This window comes from Homo sapiens, chromosome 2 (genome assembly GCF_000001405.40).
Source record: "Homo sapiens chromosome 2, GRCh38.p14 Primary Assembly".
Taxonomy (NCBI): Eukaryota; Metazoa; Chordata; class Mammalia; order Primates; family Hominidae; genus Homo; species Homo sapiens.
The window spans coordinates 141166400-141184534 of NC_000002.12; the positions used below are offsets into that span (position 1 = coordinate 141166400).

Below are 18135 nucleotides of genomic sequence, written 5' to 3' on the forward strand. Positions count from 1 at the left end.
CAGGAGCATAATAGGTGTATATATTTAATGGGGTACTTGAGATATTTTGATATAGGCATATAATGCATAACAATCATATCAGAGTAAATGGGGTATCCATCACTTCAAGCATTTATCATTTCTTTATGTTACAAACATTCCATTTATACTCTTAGTTATTTTAAAATATACAATAAGTCATTGTTGACTGTAATCACCCTGGTGTGCTATCAAATACTAGATCCTATGCATTCTATTAAACTATATTTTTATACCCATTAACCATCCCCACTTCCCCCTCCCCACTCTATCATTCTTGACGATAACATATTGTTTATATTCACAGAGCATTGTCATAATTTGTATGTGCAGTTGTCTTCATCTATGAAAATATTTACTGGTTGCAACAGAGTAAAGGATAAATAGCATTCTTTTAATAATTTGTATAAGATGTCTCAATTAAACTCTTTTGATTTAATAACTGGAAAACAATTTTAGAAAAATGTTTTGTTTTTCTGAAATACATTTTTTCTAACAGTGCAGAGTATTAGCAAATTCAATTATAACATAATATATTCATAGAACATGGAACCTCTATACTTCAGAAACACTAATTCTGTAGGTACACACTGAAATCTAGTTGAAACACGTTTACTTAGGAAACTGGTTGTTACTTATTTTTTATTTTTTTATTTTCTAACAGTTGATTAACTTTTAAACTTTTATTACAGTCTTAAATATAAGTTATATAATACAAAAAGCTCCCATAAACCTCTCAATCAAAATCCTCATTTGATATCATTTTACCACTCTTTACTACACTTGTTTTATCATTTCACGCTCAAACACACATAAAATGCAATTTTAATAAAAATATTTAATGTATGGGATGCCTCACAAATATCATCTTTATGCAGGAGACAGAAGAATCTTCTTTGTATCATTCCAGTTTTAGTATATATGTGGCTGAAGTGGCAATTAACATTTTTAATTTTATACAAATATAGTTCCCATTATATTTTCCAATAATCGTGTCTATATAGATTAACCCAAAGAGGAATTGAGAAGATATTCATTAATTGCACATAATAAATAATAACAAAAGTTCTTCATTTCTTCTTTCCAGGCGTGGTATTAAAGTACTTATTAATCAATATAAGATAGTCATCAACTAACCTAACAGGTACTATCTATATATGACCAATGTATAATCATATAGGTGATATATATATCATAAAAGTGATTTACAGGTGATTATAATATATACAATATAATCATCTAGGTGTTAATTCATCTTTACTTTTTAAAAATCTATTTATGTCAGGGATTTTCATCATAGTTTATTTGATGTCTCATATTCGAGAAGTAAAATTAATAGTACTTAAAATCATAATCATTTCAGAAGCTTTAATTCATTTGACTTTTTACAGTGACCATTGATAGAACTATTATGAAGTGAGAAAACTTGGTTTTCAGTGATTAATATATATTTACAATATAGTCAATAAGTGGCTATGCTGGGATTCAAATCTAGGTCTGCTGGCTTTGGAGTACATGCCTATAACTTTGATACAACTACTCTGTGCTAGATGATTCTTGACAAATAATAGAAATAAAAATGAAGATGTATCTATTAAAATGGAAAGTATAGTATAATAGTTTTCAGACAACAAACAAGTTGCTAAAACAGAAGCGATGGGAATCAGGGTATATTAAGAAAACTAAAACAGAAATCTCAAATGGAAAATGACAAAGACTACTTCAGCACATTTTATCCATAAAGTCAAGTGATATGGCATATTTTCATCTGGGTGGGCTAGTCTATGTTTCAGCAATTGCCATTAAAAATAAATGTCTGATTCAGCATCCTATTTTACCAGAAGTTTTCTGACAGCCTGTATCTATTGTAAATGACGTGCATTAAACAGGACTGTTCTCCATCTGCCTGAAAGTGAAGCAGTGGTGTCTATTATAACTAGGTTTTGGGAGAAAATGAGTCTGTTACTTAGAGCAGTGAAGTGCACTGTGCAAGACAGTAAACTATTAAATAATCACACTCAGTCACTACTTGCACTGTGCAAGACAGTAAACTATTAAATAATCACACTCAATCACTACCGAAATTTAAAATCCTGAACCACAAACTTAGAGAGAAAATTTTGCAATTCAGTCTGTCAAAAAAGAAAAGACCATGAAAGAAAAATAATTACAACAACAGTAATAATAATTTCAAGGATGTTTTGCTCCAAAATAGCAACTTACATTTGTATATTTTTATTTTAATTAAATTGCTCCTGTCCAGAAATCTACAATTCTAATCAGGAACCCTAGAGAGAGGTTTTCTGGGTTCAAACCCTGACCTCATTTACTTGGTGAAATGTGTGACATGTAGCAAGTACTTTACTCTTCCCCACTTCAGTCTCCTGTTCTGTAAAATGGGTACAATAAATACCTATCTCATAGGCTTTTGTGAAGATTAGATCAATAATACAAGCAAAGAGCTTACAAAATAACACAGCAGATGGAGTAAATGCAAGCAATAAGGACAAATGTGGTACTCAAGGGTGTTTTTTTTGTCATAAACATTTATTCCTAAGAGCAAAGTTGGTTAGAAGAGATGGGACTGGCCAGGCGCGGTGGCTCAGGCCTATAATCCCAGCATTTTGGGAGGCCAATGTGGGTGAATCACCTGAGGTCAGGAGTTTGAGACCAGCCCAACCGACATGGTGAAACCCTGTCTCTACAAAAAATACAAAAATTAGCTGGGTATAGTGGTGGGCCCCTATAGTCCCAGCTACTTGGGAGGCTGAGGTAGGACAATCACTGGAACCTGGGAGGTGAAGGTTGCAGTGAGCCGAGATCATACCATTGCATTCCAGCCTGGGTGACAAAGCAAGACTCTGTCTCAAAAATAAATAAATAAATAAATAAATAAATAAATAAATAAATAAATAAATAAAGAAGAGATGGGACGTATGTAAGGAATAAGAAAAAACTTCTTCCAATTAGCAACAAGTTTTGGAATTTTGTGTTATCCCCCTAATGTAAAATTACTAGAGGTGTCCCAAAATTCCACCAATGACTTATATCAGAATGTTTTCCATGACAGGTACAGGTAATTGAAGTGAGGAGAATTACACTGTCTGTCATGGATCCTGCACTGCACGATACAGTGACATGAGATACAGAAATTATGAGGGCAATAGCGACAGAATTAAAGTTCCCGTGTAGTAGGGAAGAAAATCTGTCCTTTGTTAAAACAAAAGTTTGAGACTTCATCACTTAATGTATCAAAATGGACAACTGGAAGCAACCAGCCCAATGTCAGTAAGATTTAAACATGGAAATGGAGACAAGATATGAGAACGGGTATACAAAGCAAAAGATATGGCTCTCTCCAGTGCACCTCCCACACCTTAACCAAAAAAAAAAAAAAAAAAAAAGAATAGAATTAAAATCTGCTACTTTTGCTCATGATGTTATTGATAGCTTATTCATGAGGATTTTGTTACCAATTATGCAAATTCTTAATTATAAAGTACCAATATACAGTTTGTAAATATGCCCACATCCTCTCATAGCTGCCACATTGTATACAGCAATGTAATCTCATGGTGTGGGGTTAAATCTTCTCTTCCATAATTGTGCTTTTGAAAATCTCCTATGTTCTTATAAAAAGGCATGAGGACTAAGTTAACCCAATGATCCTGAAGTGACAGGAAATGATAGATATGATAACAAACTCACATAAGTCACTTTTTAATAGACACCTGTCCTTTTTGGGGCAACCAAGCCACCAGTCCTAGAAATGAAAACTGAAGAAGCATTTTGTATTGTGCGAGAGAGTCAGCTAGTCCTTACTTTTGGCTAAAACGTGGCTCTCATGGCTCTACTTTCTCTAATAATCCCCTCGTTGTTTGATTTCTCTCATTCTGGTCTTGTTGCTAGCAAGGTCTCACACGGAACTTTAGCTCTGTGGAGAAAGCATGGTTATGGGGATACTGGTACTTTCTAAAACTATTTCCTTCTTACACTGTGACTTCAGTAGTGAGAAAAAGTGCAGGCAAATAAATCCACTTTTCACTCCGAAAGAAATGGCAATATTTACCCACTTCCTTTTACTTAGCCATTAGAAGCTGTTTTGTATTAAAAATTGAGAGTCAGTATGCCTCTCAAATGCCAGTTTATTAACAAGGGCTGACTAGGCATGGGAAAATAGAAACCCTTCATTACAACAATGGTAAGAAATGCATGGGGAGACTTCTTTCTTCTATCCTTTTAAGGTATGCATTCAGGGAAACCACTCAAACACCCTTGAATTATATCCCTGTGGCCTTAAAGAGTTAAGATTACTTTCTAAAGGTGTTGCATTTTCTATTTAGGGAGTGGCTGAGGCAAGAAAGAAACAGGCTCACCTAGAATTCATAGCTCAGTGATTACACAGAGAGCAGAATAAATGTATTTGTGAAATTGGATTGTAACTGAGTGAGAATGTGGAATTTCTGGATGTCACTATAAAGCAGAAAAGATAGTTTTATTCTGAAATTAGTCATCTGTTTCCTGATTGATCCACAATTATAGTCGTGTGCTCCCTCAGTTTCTTTTTTCCCTTCCTTAAAAAATAAATAAATAAAACTAGTAGGCTTTATTTTTTATGGCAGTTTTATGTTTATGGGAAATTGAGTAGATGATATAGGGAATTCCCATATACCTCCTGTCTTCCTCACTGGCAGTTTCTCCTATCATTAAAATCTTGCCTTGGTGTGTTAACACTTGTTACAATTACTGAACCAATGTTGATGCATTATTGTTAACTAAAGTCCATAGATTACATTGCTTCACTCTTTGTGTTGTATAGTTCTGTGGGTTTTGATAAATGCATAGGACATGTACACATCATTGCAGTATCACAGAGAATAGTTTCAGTGCCCTAAAAATTCTCAGTACTCCACCTATTCATCCCTTCCCTCTTCCCCACCCCAGTCCCTGGTAACTGCTAAGTTTTTACTTTCTCTGTAGTTTTCCCTGTCCCAAAATGTCATATATTTAGTTCCTTTAAATTTTTCAGCACCAAATTCTATGTGTCATTTCTATTCATCTTCATGGAGCTGATACAAACTTAGAGCTGTCTCATGTTAAGTTATAAAATTCTCACTTTGCATATTGTCAAGTGCCATTTACCACAGGCTGATACACAGTCTTCTGGATGAATGCTGGAATACTGCAAAACTTCCAAACATCTCATCAGAAAACCTCCCAGCTTCAAGCCGACTCATCGTGGCTGTGGTGTAGCAGCGTAAGAGTGTAGGCTGTGGAGTGACATGGCTTGAGTCTGAATCCTGACTGAAACATTTACTAGCTTTTTTACCATGGGTAGGTAATTGCACCTCTCCAAGCCTCATCTTTAAAAGGGAATGATACTACTCCATACCTCACAAGAAACACTGTGAAGATTGCGTGGATCAATGTGGAAGAAATTCTCTGGATAATGATTGGTCTAAAGTAAACAGTCAGTAACATTGCTCTTCAGATTATTCTCCTCCTTTCTCTCTGGCTGTCTCTTAAAGAAAATGGACCCCATCAGAACTATAAATTCACATTCTGATGCAGCACAAAGTGAAAAGAAAAAAGATAGGTAATGCAAAACTATTTCATTGACTCTACTACTCCAAACACAAAACACTTCGTGTTTAGATAAATGATGGTAGCGTGAAAAGCTGTTCTAGGTTACTTGATATCACATATGAGAAGATGCTCAATGAAATAACTTTTATCATGAAATAGTTCACAAAGCACAGATGAGCTTCCCATGCACTTCATGGGAAGTATTCACCATCAGTTCATCCAGGGCAGGAGGCAGGCCAGGATGCTCCATGTAGTATTGCATTATAACATGGTCTCAGCTGGCCTGTGTGTACTTCTACAACATGAACCGTCAGAATAATCCTTATGACAAAGACATAATGCAATGTTCTTCCCATTTTAAACCTTTAATAAGACCACTTTCCAGAAAATGCTGCAGCTCAGTTACGTTATGAAAAATGCTATTAATTACAGGTATCTGAGGCAAGGAACCGTGATCCTTTATATTTACTCATAATCTTACTGACTAAAATGAATATTCTTATTTCATTTGGGAAAAAAGAGAATTTGCTTTTAATCACAATCATACTTTAGCCTTCAATCCCATAGATTACCGAACAAGTTTTATGAGCTGTTGATATTCACTATCAACAGCTTATTCACTATTTTTATCTTAATGTAATTAATTGTAGTAAAATACACAAAATCTTTCTTTAAATCATGCAATATTCAATTGGCTGATAAATAGAATCTGATATATATATAAGTCTGTGGAAAAATAGACATTATAAAACCAGGAATGACTTAAAATAGATTTTCTCTACTAAGCAACCTGGAATTTATCTATTATGCTCCTTATCCTCTGTGAGTAGTTACCTTTGAATAACAGAAATATACACAGATCCAAAAAGTAAGAGGATCTAAAGAAGGCAGAACTTTCATCCAGTAGTTCTATTTTCTAACTAAAATTTCCCTTATTTCCAATTATCCAAGCCTATGTCTTATTTATTGGGATGTGACTAATGATTCCTAAAGTATTATTCCCTCTGGAATAAATTACAGATTTCTCTTTAAATGTAGTATGCTTTAAAATTAAAAAAAAAAAAACCCACACACTTTATATCCATAGCTTCAATTACTGCTTTGTTGAGGTAAGCATCACCTTCACTGATACTGATGTAGTTGTCACTGCCATCTTTGTCATCATCATCATCACTGCCATTACCATTCTTATCTAGCATTTGCAGGGCTTTGATAAAAAACCTCAAAATATCCATTAGGAAGAATGTAATTTTGTTCTCAAGCAGTGCACATCCCACAGCAAACATTTTCATGACATTAATTCCATACATTTCTCTTCCATCCTCACATAAACCATCTCAGTTTTGCTTTTTCCAACTATTTTTCCTAACATAAACTTGACTATGTTCAGATAGCCATTATTTCCCTCCACAACAAAAGCATACATGACTCAGGAGAAATGGAACCCACCTCCAGATTGTGGGATGAACTCTGATTAATCCAACCCATGCTACACATGGCATTCCCTCAGCAACTATCAGTGCTCTAGGGATGACAAAGCAAACTTATTTAGCTCTTTCAGACTTAAGTGATATAGATTAATAGTCTATATTGTGGGGCTAAGTTTCTCACTTGTTCCTCCTGCATGTCAATAAGGAAACAATTGTCTTCACTTGGTGTGGGTAGGAATCTTATGACCATGAATTAAAAGGGTCATAAGGTTGGGTAAGATAATTAGGATGTAGCTGAGGATAGAACAGAAAAACAGAAAAAAAATGTGGCTCTCTGATGATGTCACTGAAGCACCAACTCAATCAATCTTGACTGCAATTAAGTTTGCTCTTCTCTGTTCTTCCTGCTATGTGAGACAAATTTACTTACCTCTTAAGCCAGTTAAAGATGAGATTCATGTTAGTGTCCAAAGTATTCTAAAATATACTATATTATACTATGTTTACACTATTTCAACTGACTTCTCCTTCTTTTTATTTTAGATAGCATTCTATCTAGAGATAGAATACTTTTCTTTCTCTTCTCTGTCCTCCACTCTCAGATTTATATTATGCAAGCACTACATTTATTCAGAGTATGCTCCAAAAGAAAAAAAAAGATAAATGATAAGCTAATGTGTATTTAAAGTCCAAGACTCCAAATCTGGAAAACAAGATATTCTACGGAATGAGGTGGTAGTAAGATCTTATGAAGCATAAACAAAAGAATAATCATTTGAAAATGAACTTCCTCATGGTGTTTCTAGTCCATCCAGAGAAGAGAGGGCTTATGTTCTAAAAATTATTTGCAGAAATTGCCCCAAGGTAGAGTTGCCTATTATTCCACTCTTTGGACAGCATATAATTTACTTGTGATATGGTTTGGCTCTGTGTCTCCACCCAAATCTCACATGGAATTGCAATCCCTACATGTCAGGGGAGGGGCCTGGTGGAAGGTGATTGGATCATGTGGGCAGATTTCTCCTTTGTTATTCTCATGAAAGTAAGTTTTCATGAGATCTGATGACACTTTCCCCGTTTTTCTCTCTTGCCACCATGTGAAGAAGGTTCTTGCTTTCTCTTCACCTTCTACTATGATTGTAAGTTTCCTGAGGCCTCTCAGACATGACTTCTGTTAAGTCGGAGGAACTATGAGTCAATTAAACCTCTTTGCTTTATCAATTATCCAGGCTTAGGTAGTTCCTCATAGCAGTGTGAGAGTGGACTAACATTAGGATATTGGTACAGGGGCACTGCTACAAAGATATATGAAAATGTGAAAGCAACTTTGAAACTGGGTAACAGTCAGAGGTTGAAACAGTTTAGAGGGCTCAGAGGAATACAGGAAGATGTGGGAAAGACTGGAACTTCCTAGAGACTTATTGAATGGTTTTGAAAGAAAAATGCTTATAACAAAATGGACAATGAACCCCAGGCAGAGGTGGTTTTAGATTGAGATTAGGAACTTACTGGGAACTAGAGTAAAGATCACTCTTGCTATTCTTTAGCAAAGAGACTGGCAGCATTTTGGCCCTGCCCTGGAGATTTGTGGAACTTTAAACTTGAGGGAGATGATTTAGGATATCTGGTGGAAGAAATTTCTAAGCAGCAAAGCATTCAAGATGTGACCTGGCTGTTTCTAAAAGTGTGAGTTTGTATGTGTGAACAATGAGATGATCTGAAAATGGAACTTATATTTAAAAGGGAAACAGAACATAGAAGTTTGAAAAATTTACAGCCTGGGCATGTGATAGAAAAGAAAAATCCATTTTCTGGGGAGAAATGCAAGGCAGCTACAAAACTTTGCATAAGTAAAGAGGAGCTGAATATTAATAACCAAGACAATGAAGAAAACCCACCACAGGCCTTGAGGCCTATGAGAGAAAAGTGGTTCCACCCAGAGCCCTGCTGCTCTATGCAGCCTTGGGACTTGATGACCTGCATAGCAGCTGCTCCAGCTCCAGCTGTGGCTAAAAGGGGCAAAGGTAAAGTTCACATCATTGCATCAGAGGGTACAAGCCCCAAGCTTCAGTGGCTTCCAGGTTGTGTTGAACCTGCATTCACAGAAGGCAAGAGTTTGGGATCCTCCACTTAGATTTCAGTGGATGTATGAAAACGTTTGGATGTCCAGGCAGAAGTCTGCTGCAGGACTGGAGCCCTCATGGAGAACCTCTACTAGGTCAGGGCAGTGGGAGAATGTGGGGTTGGAGCTCCCACACAGAGTCCCCACTGGGGCACTCCCTAGTGGAGCTATGAGAAGATTACCACCATCCTCCAGACGCCAGAATGGAAGATCTACCAACAGCTTGCACCATGCACCTGGAAAAGGCATAGGCATTCAACAACAACCCATGAAAGCAACTGTGGGGCTGTACCATGAAGAGCCACAAGGGCAGAGCTGCCCAAGGCTGTAGGAGCCCACCCCTTGTATCAGCATGCCCTAGATGCAAGACATGGAGTCAAAGGAAATCATTTCAGAATTTTAGGATTAAGTGACTGCCCTGTGGGGTTTCTAACTCGTATGGGGCCTGTAACCCCATTGTTTTTGGCCAATTTCTCTCTTTTGGAGTGGTGGCATTTACCCAATGCCTGTACCTCCATTGTATCTTGGATATAACGAATTTGTTTTTATTTTATAGGCTTATAAGCAGAAGGGACTTTCCTTGTCTCAGATAAGACTTTGGACTTGGACTTTTGAGTCAATGCTGGAATGAGTTAAGACTTTGGGAGACTGGTGGGAAGCATTATTGGTTTTGAAATGTGAGAATGACATGAGATTTGGGAGGGGCAGTGGTGCAATGAGGTGGTTTGACTGTGTCCCCACCCAAATCTCATGTCCCATTGTAATCCCCACATTGCACAGGAGGGTTCTGGTGAGAGGTGACTGGATCATGAGGGAAGATTTCCCCTTTTCTGTTCTCATGATAGTGAGTAAGTTCTCATGAGATCTAATGGTTTAAAAGTGTGTGGCATTTTCTCCCCTTGGTCTCTCTCTCACCACCATGTGAAGAAGGTCACATGATGACCTTCCCCTGTGCCTACTGCCATGATTGTAAGTTTCCTGAGGCCAAGCTTCCTGTTAAGCCTGCAGAACTGTGAGTCAATTAAACCTCTTTTCTTCATAAATTACCCAGACTCAGATAGTTCTTTATAGTAGTGTGAGAACAGATTAATACAACTTGTTTCTCTGATTATGTTTTCAAAACAAACTTTTAATAGATGATTTGGATTCCTAAGTATCTCAAGAGAAAAAAAAAATGAATCTAATAAAAATGACTCACTCTAAGTAAAATAATAAAACTGAATTTTGACTATAAAGAGGATTTTGAAAAAGATGACTCCACCCAATTTGAGATATCTTTTAAAATAGAGGCCTTTGAGATGTTAACCTGTTCTTCATTTAATGTTATTACAAAAAAATAAAATAAAATTACATAGTGGTTTCAGTTACAGAGACAGACATCTGTCAATCAGAAACTAATGTCCTCCTTCTGCTTTTTCCAAAATGTGTATTGGTTGGCTATTTGTAAGACAGAGACCACATTTTCTAGTCTCTTGGCTCAATATATGACTCAGTGACTAGATATAACTACTGAAATGTAGCAGAACTGATGTATGGCACCACTGAGCTGAATTATTATTATTTGTTTTAATCAGGCATCTTTTTACCTCTGGTCAAAATCAGAGAATTCTTAAATCAAACACATAGGAGTCACAAGAAGGAAGGAGGCTCCATCTCTCAATGACTACCTGGAGAAAAGCTGCCTGATAATGAGGAATATGTGCATTGGGCTCTAATTTTAGGTAGAAAAAAATAAATATTTCAATCCACTAGAATTTCTGGAAGCTAGTGTTACCTTAACTAATGCTGTAGTTGCTACCACAAGTACAATACCGCTTTAATAAAAAACTAAACCATCTAACATTCCATTAATAGTAAGGTGGCAAGCAATTGGGTAACTATAAATGGAAAATGGAAATATTCATCAACATTAAAATATTTGGTTAAAAAATCTTTGGTTAAATAATATCATTTGCAATATCTTGGAAGGAAAAAGAAATGTGTATTGAACCTGCAGATTTAAAGAAATAAGTTTAAAAGCACAATATTAATAGTTGTATTAGTTACTATGTGATTGCTTGGGCAAGATATTACAAAAGAAATGAGTGAAGGGAAGAATTGGCTGGTTAAAGCAAAAAATGAAAGTGAAAAGAACAAGTCCAAAACTGGGGACTCCCAGGTTCAGACTTTTCTAATAGTTCCAATATTAGAACTTCTAATATTAGAAACTTCTACTTTCTAATACTTCTAATACCTGAACAGTAAGAGAAAATATTGAAAATGGTTTAAGCAAGAAAAGTTCAATTAGGACTTCTCAATTAAATAGAGTTAGCCTTCAGACAAAGGTATTTGTTTTACTCTGAAACATTGTTTTAGATGACCTCAAAGCAGCCACCTATAAATAAGTAGAAAGAGAAAGCCAAGGGAGTGAAGTGCAAAGAAACAAATTGAGCTTGATCATTATTTCTAGAATATAACTTTAAATATGGTTATTGGTATGTAGAAGTAATGGGAAACAAATCAAAATTCTACTAATTTGCAAACAAAACCAGGAGTGTAGCTTACAGAATCTTTGTCTCTTCATATCTTAAAACCGGAAAAGGCAATAAACAGTTTATGAAATACACAGAGCCCCAGGGGCAGGATATTCCCCATTGCCAACTTCAGGTGTAGTGTGGAGCACAACAGACTAGAAAGAGCCTCCTATTGGAAGCACAGCTTAAGGAGAACAAAGACAACGGGGAATCTCACAGAGAAAAAAATAAGGCTAACAAGTGACTTCTCGATCGCCAGAGCAGTAGGTCTTCACCTTCATTGCCTGGCTCTGGACCAATGGCCACTGTGAGTTTCCCAGTCTTCCACTTTCTAAATGAGAGTCTTTTGATAGTTTAGATACACAGGACAGTGGATTCAGATATCTTTGAGCCTTTTGGTTCTTAGGTTGCTGTACAAAAGGAACTATAAAATGATATGATGGAGAGGACTGCAAGTCAGCTGGAGATCCTGTATTTTGACCTAAATGTAGCATATCCTATGTATGAGGGAAAAGATATTTAAATATTTGGTAGCCAGAAGAGAAGATTTTGCAGAGATGAACAACTGTTCCTTGGAAATGCATGCTTCCACTTCCATAGTATGATGCTGTCATGGGCAAGGAACTGCCTAACCAGATGACAAATTTTCCTCATTGACTTGCATCCAGTTATGTCAATATATCTTCAGTATTTTTCTCCTTCTGCTAGTTGGGAGCAGAGTATTCCAAGGCCCTATGAGATTCTACAGCTATAAAATGAAAGGAACCTTGATTCTTGAATAACTCCTTGATAGGCAGGAGAAAAGCTGCCCATCAGCATATAACACTCTTGCTGGACTCATGTATGAATGTTAAATATAATTTAATTGTATTAAGTCAAAATTCTAGACTTTATAAAAGCAACTATCATTAGCCTACTAAATACCGTTGTTATAAGAAGATTGTTCTATTGATATTCAGGCAAAGCTTAGTGTGTAGACTGTATAAATTATAATTGTTTTATGCAATTAATAAATTTATATGGATATATTTGAAACTTTTATCAAATTAAATAATACAATAATTAAAAAAACAGAAAATTTTTGTTTTTGCAGAAAATGAATCAGAAACCTTATCAATTTGGAGGCTTTTTGATCATTGTAGAGCTCCAAACACTTTAGACAGGTCCCAGATTGAATTTATGAGACTAATTATTTAGGTATGTGTTGAAATTAGATTCCCAATGCTACATTTGGAAAACTAGCTTGAAAACTTTCAGAAGGCAGGAATATTTTCTTTGTATGTTTCTTTTTAATCTCATTTTATTCCTCACTAAGCCAGATTTAGGAAGTATAAAGATTTCCTAGTTTGGTTGTGGACAACATTACCATGGCTATATTCAATCATTATGAAGATCAATCGCAATGGCAAAAATAGTTTTGTTTTTACCAAAAGGCACTGCATTATTTTAACATTCCACTGGGGTACATTTTATCTGTAGTTAATGGGTTTACCTCTGCACAATTTTTACCTCCATTCTTACAAAGACAATTATATCACTAAAGTCAAAAGAAGACCAAATACCTTCAACATTTGCCTTTTCCTTTTCTATGACAAAACAACCACCACCACCAACACCACGACCACCATTATCATCTGGAGAAGAAACCAACTTACATCAGAAAACATCCCCTTAATCCTAAAGTCAGGCCAAATTCTTGCAAGTCAAACCACTAAGAGTCTGGGGCTCAAGGGAAAAATATCAATTTTGGTTCAATATCCTGCAAGGCTCAGCAGTCAAGCAGAATGAATCATAACAACACAAAAGCTGAATGTTGGTTTTTCCTTTTTTTTTTTTTTTTTTGGTTGAATGCGATTATATAGCCTACAGTAAAATCTCAAATTTATGTTATATATTACAGAGTGGTAATGTATAAGCAGAACAATGTCAAGTATTTTTATTGTTTTTAATTTTTGTTCTTTGTGGTGTTTGCAAACCAAGATTCTTCCAGTTTTTGAAAATAACATTTTGTGCCTGATCCATTATTTAACTCAGAATTTTGAATAAATCACTGCTTAGCATTTTGTTTGTTGTTTGGAATGTTCTGGGTTCTTTGTAAACTAGAATAACCATATCTTCTCATTGCAATATTTAATATTTCTTACATAACTCCAAGAGTTCATGTTATTTACCCTTGATGCCCTGATCACAACCTGAGTGATACAAGAATGTTGTCCATGTACAGTCCTTTCAAATACAGGACTACTGGCTCATATCTGCTTGTTTTCATAGAACTCCATAAAAAAAAAAACAACTAGAAATAATTTTAAACTACTTGAAAATATAAAATTATTCTTTTATGCTATTTGCACAAACACTTCAAATATGTAAGCTATTCTCTGGCAGAAAGTAAGAAAGCTTTCAAGGTCACTTGAGACTCACTTTATAAGTGAAACAATAACTTACTGAATATTACCCAAGTGGTTTGGAAATGTTCATATAGCTTCCAAAAGTGCTGGAGAATATAACAGAATAAAACCTGCTATCAGTTTCCTAAACTATGTCTTTACAAATAAAAACAGGGATATGAGTGTGTTATCCAGGATGCTCCCACCCCAGCCTCTTATCAGTATTTTATAAAATGTTGCCAAAAATTAAAAAACCCAAAAAACAAAACAAAAACCCTATCATTTTTCTTGAAAAGAGATAAGAAAAATATTCCTCAGAAGTTCAAACAACCTTGGCTAAAAGGAAATGGAGGAGATTTCTTAGAAGAGGGAACGAGATTTGGAACAAATAATATTTGTTCACATTTTGAGCAGGCTCATCTAAGTGAAAAGAGACCCTTCACTGCCTGGGAAGAACAAAGAAAAGATAAGGCGTAGCAGATAACAAAGGACTGCCATGGGACAGTGGTGGTAATGGATGTTGTTAGACCATAACTGATTTTTCTTTCTTAACATTAGCCTGGCCCCAACTTCATGCTCATGTCTCTCTGTTTTTCATTTGTTAATGGTAAAAATTGTCTAATTCCATGTGGTTGTCTTATTTAGGTGGGCATGTACTCCAGTTCTGACCAAGAAGATATGAGAGAATGTCTGATTTGGGAGCTCTTGTACACTTAACAAACAGTACTGTTTTTCAACTGAATATCATGTTTCCACACAGGATCCCTGGAACTTCAATAGATACCTTATGACCGTAGAGGAATTATCCTGGAAAGAATACACTAAAGATCACATTACAGAGCAAAGAAATAGAAAAAAAGGAACCCATGTCCTCAATGATATTGTTAATCTACCAAAGTAACCGAACTATATGTAGTTGTTTTTCTGTTACTTTACCTATTTGAGTGGACAGCATTAACTAGTGGTAATTCAGAGAAGAAATCCTTATAGGTAGTGACTAGAAGATGGGAAAGACATTGAATACTAGAAACAGAGTTGTGCACTCAGTAATTGAGAGGGAGGTTTAACAGACTTTGAAAATTTATAGAGTAAAAAAGAAAGAAACAAAAAAATGGCAAAGGGAGCAAGTAGAAATGTGGAACGTTTTTGCATTGTGTTGACTTTATGAATAATATGAGTCAAAGAGCGCAATGAGAGTCAAATCAATTTGCCTTCCATTTCCACTAAAGTATTCACTGCATATAAACCACTCCAAGTTTCCCTGTTGTATTCCCAGGCTAAGCACATTGTAATAGAGATATAATTTATAACTAAAAGAGACACTAACCAAAAGTAATACTATGCATGAACTGCCACTTGAAGAAAGGTCCAGAGAAGAATTTGGAAAGAAGTTGAACCTTAACAAAAAATTTAATTAATGAGAAGAATGTGAGTCCTATATAAAACAGCTGACATGAATTTATACCTTTGAATGAGCCTTTGAACCGCTAAGTTCAGTCAAAATTAGTGCAGACCAGGAAACACATACTTTCTCACCCATGTGGTCTTGCCTATTCACATCAGCAAATCCTGAAAGGAACTTGAATTTGGGAAGTGACAAGGGATTACTTTCTTGGGGCTCTTAGTAAATTGGTCTAAGATAGGCAGATAGCTGCTGCATACTTAATTCTCCATGAACTTAACTACCACCAGAAGTGTTACTCATCCAAAAAAAGATAGTAGGAGAGTCAAATAAGGAATTGGGATACATAAAAAATATTTAGATATTTAATAGGCTCTAGACAGATGAAAGAAACAAAATGTTACATAATACCACCCACTGAATCTGTGGGCTATAGATAAAAAAGCATTGGTAGGTTTTAGAATAATTAATACAAATTTATAAGCCTAGCGATGTTGTCATTATGTTGCATCAATACCCACTGATTAAAAGAAGTGGGCAAATAACCCCTTGATACTTTCCATCCTACAGGTGAATGCTGAGGTCAGCTAATCTGAGTACTGCTTCTGTGTGAGAACCTAGGTTGTTTCAAATATACACTGATAAACCAAAATACACTTTTACCAATTCATTTTATTAGTTTTTTTTTTCCAAAGAAACTTTAAGTCCCAGATACCTGGGAGAGAAGCTGCAACATTTCAATACATAAACTCAGGAGAATGATTATTGGAGCTATTGGAATATCTTAATTTTTCTGATTTTCCTCCTAAAGAAAAGAAATACACAAGAAAATTTGGAGGGAAACTAAGTTTATAGAAAGATATCTTTCCTTGAACAATGGGGATGTGCATCTGATTGTGGATAGCTAAGTCACATTGCTGGTTGGAAGTAGTTAAGAAGTTAGGAAATCAACTTTTGTTACGGGGGGGAGTTGGTTGTAGGTATGTGTAGGGGGCTGTTTATCCTTAAAAAGCTAGGACTCACAATTTGCAACCTGTCAAAATGTAAATAAGCATTTTAAAAGTTTAAGGCAGTCATGAATCACAGATGAGGACCCTACCTTCCAAGATGGGTATATTTATGGGGAGAAAAAAGTACAAAGGGTCGTATGTTTAAATGTTTTATGATGTTCAAACCCCCTACAGCTTTAGAACCGTCTCAGTCCTCAAAGTGATACATAGTGGTTGGGGGTGGGGGAGCAATCTCTGTATTTAATTTGTCCAAACATAGTCTGAGGCATTTAATAGCCAAATGTCTGTAACATTTTCACTTATGTCCTACTGCAAGTGCATTAGTTAGTGACAGTATCAGCTTGGAACCTGTGCCTGCTCAGGGAGCCACCTAACAGAAGTAGAAAACCTGCTAACTACTCCAAAGATCTCATTACAAAACCTTTTACGTGTGTAGGCAAACCCGCTTCATTTGCTATCTTCCCAACTTCACATAACAACCCAGATTAGAATTTCATTAGTCAGTCCTGCTCCCGATAGCTGTTAACTTTGATTCAATCTTTAATTTCTCAGTCATTATTAGCTTCAACAGGTGGGTGATGGGAAAGGGTTTTTTAAACTCTTCAATACTGTCAATCATTCTTGTGTGAATTTAACTTGAGATGAGCTTCACTCTCCTGTCTCCTGGCAGATGGCCTGCTCTTGTACAGAACAAAGACAACACACTTTTCCCTTATTATTGGCATGAGGTGATGGGTTCACAAATAAATCCTACAGATCACTCTGCTATTCACTGTCTGCAAGTCAAAAGATTCATCCCACACAGAAATAAGGGTATATGTTGTCCTTGGAAAATATTTAATTTCTGTTATTTTACTTAACATAGGAGATCTTCCCCCTCCCTCAATTTAGCCAAATCACATAATTCTTTTGAACCTGGGTTTTATCAATGGTACCCCAAGTTCCCCAAAATATATTTTCTCAAAATTTTAACTCCAACTTTGGTACCTTGACTAAAATATCTATTTACTTTTACTCTAATATTCTAATAATTATCACACCTAGAATTAATTATCTCCTCTTGTTGAATACTTTTGCAACAAGTTCACACTCATAGTGAAATGCACTCTGTCTCAAGTATAGTGTGATGATTTTACTTTAATAGAAAACTGAGGGCCACAGCTTAGGAACAAAATTGTAGACTAGCTCCACCCCTGACCTCAGTTACAATCCTCATTAGACCCCAATACTAAATAGTTTGATATTGAAGCAGTGTCATGTTCAAAAATGCAGTTCCACAGACAAAAGTAACTACAATAGAATTTTATTCTTTACTCTTGTCTTTTGAAAGACCTTGAAAGTAATCCAAATATATCTTGCATAACAGCAATTGTTAGAATAAGGTTGTTCCTCTGTTACATCTTCCCTTATGGTGTCCTCAGAGGACATGCTAACCCAAAATCTGGCACCTTGGCAGTTGAGAAAACAGCAGAAGCAGATGTCCCTTCTCCCCTGATGCAGGCCATCAAAAAAATCATCTGACCTTTCTCTGAAGTAGATCATAAGAACCTCATGTGAGAGGTGCCCACTCTATACCCGGAGGAAAGGAGCTTCCATATCTCTGAAAACTTGGGGACACAGAGAAGAAACTGAACGCACAGGCCTCACTAAGTTTCCCCCAGTTGATT

At 35.8% G+C, this 18135-nt stretch overlaps 1 protein-coding gene and 1 pseudogene across 3 annotated transcripts in view, besides 1 other annotated feature; both read right to left on the bottom strand.

The window, feature by feature from the left end:
• The window catches only part of LRP1B (LDL receptor related protein 1B), a 1899594-nt gene that overhangs the window by 934977 nt on the left and 946482 nt on the right, over positions 1–18135 (bottom strand). The gene's annotated exons all lie outside the window — the stretch shown is intronic.
• Positions 858–958, bottom strand: RNU6-904P (RNA, U6 small nuclear 904, pseudogene; annotated as a pseudogene).
• Positions 6968–7168: a silencer, noted in NCBI's record as "peak3887 fragment used in MPRA reporter construct". NCBI's record gives its function as "represses an SCP1 promoter by STARR-seq MPRAs in K562 erythroleukemia cells {active_cell/tissue: K562}" and the evidence as "EXISTENCE:reporter gene assay evidence [ECO:0000049][PMID:32103011]".